The sequence below is a fragment of the Homo sapiens genome, chromosome X (assembly GCF_000001405.40).
Source record: "Homo sapiens chromosome X, GRCh38.p14 Primary Assembly".
In the NCBI taxonomy this organism is placed as follows: Eukaryota; Metazoa; Chordata; class Mammalia; order Primates; family Hominidae; genus Homo; species Homo sapiens.
Genome location: NC_000023.11, coordinates 1,918,474 through 1,929,186, shown reverse-complemented (window position 1 = coordinate 1,929,186; position 10,713 = coordinate 1,918,474). Strand labels below are relative to the sequence as shown.

The window sequence follows — 10,713 nt, the reverse complement described above, 5'->3', positions numbered from 1 at the left end:
TAGACTAGCAGCGGGCTTTTCTGTTCTTTATTTATTTTGTTTGTTTGTTTTCAATGCTCTCTGATACAATTAATGACCTTTCTCTACCCAGACAATGCTTCAGTCTATACCAGCTCACACAAAGAGAAAAAGTTCACACAGGTATGCCGGCGCGATCTTCAGAATCCCCACGGTTAAACACAATGGCCCTGCGGGCTTTTGAGACCAGACACGAAGCACGGAAGAATTTATCCTTTCCCCGATGCTATTGTTCCTAGTAATGTCTTTGACATTGGAATTCGACTAAAAAAAAAAAAAGGAGGGGATGCTGGTGGCATTTGACAATTTGTCAAGGGGTGAGTGTCAAAACTACTTCATTTACAGAAGTAGAAATTTTAGAGGGTAGCTCCAAACCCAACTGGTCCAGTAGGATACTCACCTTACAGGGGGGGTCTCAAGAGTCTCACAGTTCCCTTGGGTCTTAAGAGACTCACTGTTGGACCAGGCGTGGTGACTCACGCCTGTAAAACCAGCACTTTGGGAGGCCGAGGCGGGCGGATCACTTGAGGTCAAGAGTTCAAGACCAGCCTGACCAAGGTGCTGAAACCCCGTCTCTACTAAAAATACAAAAATTAGCCAGGCATGGTGGTGTGCGCCTGTAATCCCAGCTACTCCAGAGGCTGAGGCAGGAGAATCTCTTGAACCCAGGAGGTGGAGGTTGCAGTGAGTCGAGATCATGCCACTGCACTCCAGCCTGGGTGACAGAGCGAGACTCCGTCTTAGAAAAAAAAAAAAAAAAAAAGAATCTCACAGTTCAGCAGGGTTCTAGCATGAGACAATGAGGACAAGGGTAGGTGAGCAGGTGGAAAGAGTGAGAACAGGTCAATTGTGATGGAGAAAATAATAAAGACAGAAAAGGCAGAAGACCGCCTGGCAGAAGACCTGTCCCAGCAGATACAAAAATACAGACAACAGGAGCCAGCATAGACCCTTGACCTGTGTAAGTCTTTCTCAGGCCTTCTTTTAAGTAGAAACATGCCTTTGAAAAAAAGTTTTAATAAACAGGAAAATCATAAATCCCTATTTACATAAATAATATATCCTGGTCTTATTCTTAGAACCATTGATTTTTCACGGCTCATTAAGAAAGCTGGGCGAGGTGGCTCACGCCCGTCATCCTAGCACTTTGGGAGGCCGAGGCGGGCAGATCACAAGGTGAGGAGTTGGAGACCAGCCTGACCAACACGGTGAAACCCAGTCTCTACTAAAAATACAAAAATTAGCTGGGGGTGGTGGTGTGTGCCTGTAATCCAAGCTACTCGGGAGGCTGAGGCAGGAGAATCGCCTGAACCCGGGAGGTGGAGGTTACAGTGAGCCGAGATCGTGCCACCGCACTCCAGTCTGGGAGACAGAGTGAGACTCTATCCTAAAAAAAAAAAAAAGGAGAAAAAAGAAAACAACATGGTCCTCAGTTAGTCGGTGGCAGGACTGAATCTCCAGTGACCGCTCTTCTCTTACCCAGTAATGAAAATTTAGCCATCAGAGAGAGGTCAGAACTTCTCATACACCCAGAAGGCTGAGAATACCTTTATGCCTGTTCTCCCTCCTCGTCAGCGAGTATGTCAATTGCTGTTTCTAAATGTCTTGGAGATGTTTATATTACAGTTTTGCATTTTGTGACAAGTGCCGTGCAGCCTGCTTTTCACCGTGAACCTGGAAACCTACCCTTCTAACACGATTTATCAGGCCTGTTCATAACTGCTCACTCCACACCGTGTTTTAAACGCCCAGCATTGACTAGAAGCTCAGCCACGGAAATCAATTCTTTCCATCACGGTTCTGCCCTCCAATGATAGACAAGGCAGTTTTCCTGTACAAGTGCCGTGGATTTCTGCAAGATATAATTAATGCTTTGTCACTTTCTCCCCAGAAAGTTGCCTTTGTTTATTGCACTGCGAAATTGGAAGTTGGCAAAGGTGAAAGGTAGTTCTCCTGTGAGAATACATTGTGATTTTTTTTTTTTCCGTAAGAAATTTAAGATGACAGCCGGGCGTGGTGGATCATGCCTGTAATCCCAGCACTTTGGGAGGCTGAGGCGGGCGGATCCATTGAGGTTGGGAGTTCAAGACCAGCCTGGCCAACATGGTGAAACCCCATCTCTATCAAAAATATAAAAAATTACCCAGGTGTGGTGACGCACTCCTGTAATCCTGGCTACTCGGAAGGCTGAGGCAGGAGAATCGCTTGAACCCGGGAGGCAAAGGTTGCAGTGAGCCGAGATCGCACCATTGCATTCCAGCCTGAGTGACAGAGTGAGACTCCATCTCAAAAAAAAAAAAAAAAAAAAAAAGCACAAGGGAAGATGGGGGCGCACTCCTGTAATCCCAACTACTTGGAAGTCTGAGGCAGGAGAATCACTGGAACCTGGGAGGCAGAGGTTGCAGTGAGCCGAGATCACACCATTGCATTCCAGCTTGGGCGACAGAGTGAGACTCCATCTCAAAAAAAAAAAAAAGAAATTTAAGATGACAACTAAAGCTTTCCTAACAAGGAGTGACACTGTGAAGGCTATGGAGGCTATCCCACTATTTAAATGCAGGGAAGAGGTGGAGAAAAGGGAGAGGAAGCAAGGATCCCAGAAACACACATCAAGCAGACACGCCCAAGTTTAGAAATAGTCTGAAAAGGTTAACTTGCTTCGTTCCAAGAAAAACCTAAATGTACCTGGATTCAGAGAAGTTGTTTAGTCCATGAGATGAATTTTTTTTTTTTTGAGACAGAGTCTTGCTCTGTCTCCCAGGCTGGAGTGCAGTGGCATGATCTCAGCTCACTGCAACCTCTGCCTCCCAGGTTCAAGCGATTCTCTGGCCTCAGCCTCCCGAGTAGCTGGGATTACAGGCACGTGCTACCACACCCGGCTAATTTTTGTATTTTTAGTAAAGAAGGGCCACCATGTTGGCCAGGCTGGTCTCGAACTCCCAACCTCAGGTGATCCATCTGCTTGGCCTCCCGATGTGCTGGGATTATAGGCATGAGCCACCATGCCCGGACTAATTTTTGTATTTTTAGTAGAGATGGGGTTTCACCATGTTGGCCAGGCTGGTCTCGAACTCCCGACCTCAGGTGATCCACCTGCCTTGGCCTCCCAAAGTGCTGGGATTATAGGCGTGAGCCACCACGCCCGGGCTAATTATTGTATTTTTAGTAGAGATGGGGTTTCACCATGTTGGCCAGGCTGGTCTTGAACTCCTGATCTCAAGTGATCTCCCTGCCTCAGCCTCCCAAAGTGCTGGGATGACAGGCATGAGCCACCATGCCTGGCCAGAAGATGTGGGTTTCTGATCTGAATTTCCATTTTGACTTCATATACGCCATGGACAAATGTATCCCACTTTGATGACTATAAATTCCTTCTCTCATTTTCTTCTCACATCTTAGCAAGCCTTTCTTTTTTTTTTTTTTTTTTTTTTTTTCTAATTTTAACCCTTGTCTCTTTGAGCCAAATCAAATACATTAATTATTGGATCAAGGATAACTTTTATAAAAGGGTCTGGGACAAGGATTAACATTCCCCCTTTCTTGGCTGGTGTCTTTTGTCCTGAAATCTTACTTTGTCTCATTCATAGTAAAATAGGTTATTTTTCACACTCCTCTCTTCCTTTCGCAAACGCCAAAGCCGTAAATGCATTGAGATCAGAGGCTTCTCATTATTTGTAATTATCCCCTCAGCCGAATGCAAGAGGGCCCCGTGGGTAAGGCAGGGTGTTCACGAATACGCCGGCGTTTTCATCACCATCGATACCATCTCGGCTCTTTGCCCCTACTCCCCTGACGATTCTCGCTTCCCCCAGGATAATTACTGGCTTCTTACACTTGAACCCTTACTGCTCTCAGGAAAAGAATGTATCCCGTCCTCCTGGCGCACCGACATTCTTATTTTAAACAGCCGGGGACTGCCCGCCTCTCTCACTCTTTCCACCCTGCAGGATACCATTGTCATTTGCTAGCAGGGGAAACGCAACAATGTATCAGAGTCCAGATTCCAGAAACCCCAGATGCTCGGATTTGTGTTGAGGCCGCTCTGGGGACGTGACAGCACATTTTTGTTGTTGTTGTTGCTGACAGTTTTGTGCGTGATTTGCATCTCCCATCCTTTTTCTACCTGTGACTTCTCATCCAGGAGGCCAAGGGAATGGATGCATATTTCAACATTTCAACCTTTTTTTTTTTTTTTTTTTTAGTAAAAATGCATATATCGGCCGGGTGCGGTAGCTCACGCCTGTAATGCCAGCACTTTGGGAGGCTGAGGTGGGTGGATCCCTTGAGGTCAGGAGTTCGAGACCAGCCTGGCCAACATGGGGAAACCCTATTTCTACTAAAAATACAAAAATTAATCAGTTATGGTAGCACATGCCTGTAATCTCAGCACTTTAGGAGGGCAAGGCGGACAGATCACCGGATGTCAGGAGTTCAAGACCAGCCTGGCCAACATGGCAAAACCCTGTCCGTAGTAAAAATACAAAAATTAGGTGGTGTGGTGGTGGGTGCCTGTAACCCCAGGTACTTGGGAGGATGAGGCAGGAGAACGGCTTGAACCCAGGAGGCAGAGGTTGCACTGAGCCAAGATCACACCACTGTACTCCAGCCTGGGCAACAGAGTGAGACTCTGTCTCAAAAAAGAAGAAATAAGCTGGGCATGGTGGCTCACACCTGTAATCCCAGCACTTTGGAAGGTCAAGGTGGGTGGATTACGAGGTCAGGAGTTCAAGACCAGCCTGGCCAACACAGCAAAACTCTGTTCCTAGTAAAAATACAAAAATTAGCCAGATGTGGTGGCGGGCGCCTGTAACCCCAGCTACTCGGGAGGCTGAGGCAGGAGAATCGCTTGAACCCAGGAGGCAGAGGTTGCAGTGGGCCAAGATCATGCCACTGCACTCCAGCCTGGACGACACAGCAAGACTCCGTCTCAAAATACAAGAAATAGGCCGGGCGCAGTGGCTCACGCCTGTAATCCCAGCACTTCGGGAGGTCGAGGTGGGTGGATCATGAGGTCAGGAGTTCGAGACCAGCCTGGTCAACATGGCAAAACCCTGTCTCTAGTAAAAATACAAAAATTAGCCGGATGCGGTGGCGGGTGCCTGTAACCCCAACTACTCAGAAGGCTGAGGCAGGAGAATCACTTGAACCCAAGAGGCGGAGGTTGCAGTGAGCCAAGATCACGCCACTGCACTCCAGCCTGGGCAACAGAATGAGAGAGACTCCATCTCAAAAAAGAAGAAATAAATACAATACAAATTTAAAAAAAAATAAAAATGCATATGTCTTGATTATCAATGTCTGCATTTCATAGGTCACCTTAGCTGGGCTGTTTGTATTTTTTGTTTGTTTGTTTGTTTGAGATGGAGTTTTGCTCTTGTTGCCCAGGCTGGAGTGCAGTGGCGTGATCTCGGCTCACCACAACCTCCACCTGCCGGGTTCTGAACCCTGATACTGACAACAATGAATATATAAAGACACTCAAAGCTGCCGTTCTCTGCTGATAATGCTGGCTGTCATTATATTCCCATCAGCTGAAGATGATTTTATGACGTCCGAGGAAGCCCCCGGCCCTGAATGAGTAAATTCCTCCTGCGGTGACATTTAAAATTCCATTTCCCGTTATTCATGTTTTACCGAGGGGGCAAAGCCTCGCTCTGTCCTCGACTTCAGAAGCCACTGTTGGTCTCCTTCCTTTGGAAAATTTAATTTTTAAGGGACAAACAATGATTGCATGTATTTGTAGGGTACAGTGTGAAATTTTGATATATGTACACATCATGGGATAATTGCATGAAGCCAATTAACATATCCCTCACCTCACCTACTTTTCTTTTGTGTGTGTGTGTGTGGGTGGTGCACGCATTTAAAATCCTACGTTTAGGCTGGCGCGGTGGCTCACGCCTGTAATCCCAGCACTTTGGGAGGCCGAGGCAGGCAGATCACGAGGTCAGGAGATCGAGACCATCCTGGCTAACACGGTGAAACCCCATCTCTACTAAATAAAAAAATTAGCCGGGCGTGGTGGCGGGTGCCTGTAGTCCCAGCTACTCGGGAGGCTGAGGCAGGAGAATGGCGTGAACCCGGGAGGCGGAGCTTGCAGTGAGCTGAGATCGCACCACTGCACTCCAGCCTGGGCGACAGAGCGAGACTCCCTCTCAAAAAAAAAAAAATGAAAGAAAGAAAGAAAAAAGAAAAAAAATATCATCTGTTTATTGCAGGACTGTTCACAATAGCAAATACATAGAATCAACCCAAGAGTCCATCAACACGTGAATGGGGCTGGGCGCGGTGGTTCACGCCTGTCACCCCACCACTTTGGGAGGCCGAAGTGGGCGGATGACTTGAGGTCAGGAGTTCGAGACCAGCCTGACCAACATGGTGAAACCCCATCCCTACTAAAAATACAAAAATTAGCCAGATGTGGTGGTGGGCACATGTAGTCCCAGATACTCCAGGCTGAGGCAGGAGAATCGCTTGAAACTGGGAGACGGAGGCTGCAGTGAGTCGAGATCGCGCCACTGCACTCCAGCCTGGGTCACAGAGTGAGACTCTGTCTCAAAAAAAAAAAAAAAAAAAAAAAAGGAAAGATTATAGGATAAGGACCTGGCACGGTGGCTCACGCCTGTAATCCCAGCACTTTGGGAGGCTGAGGTGGGTGGATCACCTGAGGTCAGGAGTTCGAGACCAGCCTGGCCAACACAGTGAAAGCCTGTCCCTACTAAAAATACAAAACTTAGCTGGGCGTGGTGGCAGGTGCCTGTAATCCCAGGTACTCTGGAGGCTGAGGCAGGAGAATCACTTGAACCTGAGAGGCAGAGGCTGTAGTGAGCCGAGATCATGCCACTGCACTCCAGCCTGGGGTGACAGAGGGAGATTCCTTCTCAAAACAACAACAACAAAACAGATGACTGGAGAAGGAAAACGTAGGGTATAAACAAAGGGGAAAACTCTTGAGCTGTAAGAGTGAAGGAAATCCTGTTGGCTGCTGCAACATGGATGGAATCAGAGGCCATTATGTCAAGAGAAAGAAGCCAGGCACAGAAAGACCAATATCGCACGTTCTCACTCCTAGGTAAGTGCTAAACACTTAGGGGGAAAAATAGATAACAGAGCCCGAGAAGGGTGAGAGAGACGGAGGGAGGAGGATGCAGAGAGGTGGGTTAAAGGCTGCACACATACATTAAGATACGAGGAATGGCCAGGTGCGGTGGCTCACGCCTGTCATCCCAGCACTTTGGGAGGCCGAGGCAGGCGGATCACCTGAGGTCAGGAGTTTGAGACCATCCTGGCCAACATGGTGAAACCCCATCTCTACTAAAAATACAAAAATTAGCGGGGTGTGGTGGTGGGCGCCTGCAGTCCCAGCTACTCAGGAGGCTGAGGAAGCAGAATCGCTTGAATCCGGGAGGCGGAGGTTGCAGTGAGCCGAGATCGCGCCACTGCACTCTAGCCTGGGTGACGGAGGGAGACTCCATCTAAAAAAAAAAAAAAAATAGATACAAGGAATACATTTGGGGTTCCATAGCAGAATAAGGTGTATAGACTTAACACAAAAATACTGTATTCAGGTGATGGATGCCCTGAATACCTAGATCACTACACGTTTTATACATGTAACAAAATTTCTCATGGAACCCCTAAATTTGTACAAAACAAGAAAACACAAAAGCATACCAAAATAAAAAAACTCTACTCTCAACAATTTTGCAATGCACAGTACTTTATTATTAACAAAAATAAAAATAAAATCTACTCTGAACAATTTTGAAAGGCACAGTACCTTATTATTAATTAACAAAAATAAAAATCTACTCTGAACAATTTTGAAAGGTACAATACTTTATTATTAAACAAAAATAAAAATAAAATCTCTGAACAATTTTGAAATGCACCGTACTTTATTATTAAAAACAATAATGAAACCGACCCTGAACAATTTTGCAATGCACAATAATTTATTATTAACAAAAATAAATTAAAAATAAAACCTATACTGAACGATTTTGAAATGCACAGTACTTTATTATTAAAAATATATATATAAAACCTACTGTGAACATTTTTTTTTTTGAGATGGAGTCTCACTCTGTGGCCCAGGTTGGAGTGCAGTTGCACTATCTCGGCTCAGTACAACCTCCGCCTCCCGAGCTCAAGCGACTCTCCTGCCTCCACCTCCCGAGTAGGTGGGATTACAGGCACCCACCACCACACCCAGCTAATTTTTGTATTTTTAGTAGATATGGGGTTTCACTGTGTTGGCCAGGCTGGTCTCGAACTCCTGACCTCAGGCGATCCACTCACCTTGGCCTCCCAAAGTTCTGGGATTACAGGCATGAGCCATCTCGCCTGGCCTTACTCTGAACAATTTTGAAATGCACAGTGATTTATTATTAACAAAAATAAAATTAAAACCTATATTGAACAATTTTGAAACGCACAGTACTTTATTATTAACAAAAATAAAACTAAAAATAAAATCTACTCTGAGCTATTTTGAAATGCACAGTACTTTAGTATTAAAAATATATATAAAACGTATTGTGAACAATTTTTTTTTTTTTTGAGACAGAGTCTTACTCTGTCACCCAGGCTGGAGTGCAGTGGCGTGATTTGGGCTCACTGCAACCTCCATCTCCCGGGCTCAAGCGAGTCTCGTGCATCAGCCTCCCTAGTACATGGGATTACAGGTGAAGCACCACCACACCCAGCTAATTTTTGTATTTTTAGTAGAGACAGGGTTTCACCACGTTGGCCAGGCTGGTCTTGAACTCCTGACCTCAGATAATCCAAAGTGCTGGGATTACAGGCATGAGCCAGCGCGTCTGGCCCTACACTGAACAATTTTGAAATGCACAGTGTTTTATTATTAATTAACAAAAATAAAAATAAAACCTACTCTGAACAATTTTGAAATGCACAGTACTTTATTATAAATTAACAAAAATAAAAATAACCTATACTGAACAATGCTGAAACGCACAGTGGTTTATTATTAATTAACAAAAATAAAACCTACTCGGAACAATTTTGAAATGCACAGTGCTTTATTATTAATTAACAAAAATAAAACCTACTCGGAACAATTTGGAAATGCAGTGTTTTATTATTAATTATGTCACCGTGCTGTGCAATAGTTGTGCAGACCTTATTCCTCCTGTCTAACCAAAACTGAATTATCTGACCAACATCTCTCCCCGTGACCTCCACTAGTCTCTGCTACCCACCCTTCTACTCTGCTTCTGTGAGTTTGACTTTTTTAGATTCCACATAGCAGTGAGACCATGTGCTCTTCATCTTTCTCTCTTTCGTGTGTGTGTGTGTGTGTGTGTGTGTGTGTGTGTGTGTGTGTGTTTTTCCCAAGATGGGGTCTTGCTCTGTCACCCAGGCTGGAGTGCAGTGGCATGATCTGGGCTCACTGCAACCTCCGCCTCCCAGGTTCAAGTGCTTCTCCTGCCTCATCCTCCCAAACAGTTGGAATTACAGGCGCGCGCCACCACGCCCAGCTAATTTTTTGCATTTTCAATAGAGACAGGTTTTCACCATGTTGGCAGTACAGTGGTGCAATCTCGGCTCACTACAGCCTCTTCCTCCCAGGTTCAAGCGATTCTCCTGCCTCAGCCTCCCAAAGATCTGGGATTACAGGTGCGCGCCACCACGCCCAGCTAATTTTTTTGTATTTTCAGTAGAGATGGGGGTTTCACCATGTTGCCCAGGCTGGTCTCCAACTCCTGACCTCAAGTGATCTGCCCGCCTCGGCCTCCTCAAAGTGCTGGGATTACAGGCGTGAGCCACCACGCCTGCCTCTCTCTTTCTTAAGTTGACAGAAGAGGATTGATTTGGCCCAAGTACAAGAGTCACCATGTTGGTCAGGCTGGTCTCAAACTCCCGACCTCAGGTGATCCGCCTGCCTGAGCCTCCCAAAGTGCTGGGATTACAAGCGTGAGCCACCACGACTGGCCTCTGTGTAATTTCTTGCTAACACGGTGAAACCCCGTCTGTACTAAAAGTAGAAAAATTAGCCTGGCATGGTGGCGCACACCTGTTATCCCAGCTACCTGGGAGGCTGAGGCAGGACAATTGCTTGAACCAGAGAGGTGGAGCTTGCAGTGAGCCAAGATCGCACCATTGCACTCCAGCCTGGGCGGCGGAGTGAAACTCCATCTCAAAAAATAAATAAATAAATAAATAAATAAATAAATAAATAAATAATAAATGACAGAAAAAGAAAAAAGAAATTATTTAGGTGGATAGTTAGGGTGAAAGGGCCCCCGGCAAAAAGTTTCCTTCTAGCAAAAAGCAGCTCGTGGCCACGGTGGCTCATGTCTGTAATCCTAGCACTTTGGAAGGCCAAACTCCATCTCTAATAAAATGCAAAAAAAAAAAAAAAAAAAAATTAGCTGTGTGTGATGGCGGGTACCTGTAATCCCATCTACTCAGGAGGCTGAGACAGGAAAATCGGTTGAACCCGGGAGGCGGAGGTTGCAGTGAGCCGAGACTGTGCCACTGCAATCTAGCCTGGGCGACAGAGCGAGACTCCATCTAAAAAAAAAAAAGGCAGCTTGAGAAATTGCTTCCTTTCTAACCACACGCCACTCAAAGAAATCACTTCTCTTCTAACAAAGAGCAGCCTGGAAGATGGAGCCGTAAGTTACAGAAAAGCAGGTCCAGCACAGACCTGTTCGAGACCAGCCTGAC

General features: G+C 45.9%; 1 annotated feature.

The window, feature by feature from the left end:
- Positions 3,614-4,322: an enhancer, noted in NCBI's record as "OCT4-NANOG-H3K27ac hESC enhancer chrY:1993758-1994466 (GRCh37/hg19 assembly coordinates)". NCBI's record gives its function as "activates a minimal SCP1, AML or CMV promoter by ChIP-STARR-seq in naive H9 embryonic stem cells {active_cell/tissue: H9 hESC(naive)}" and the evidence as "EXISTENCE:reporter gene assay evidence [ECO:0000049][PMID:30033119]".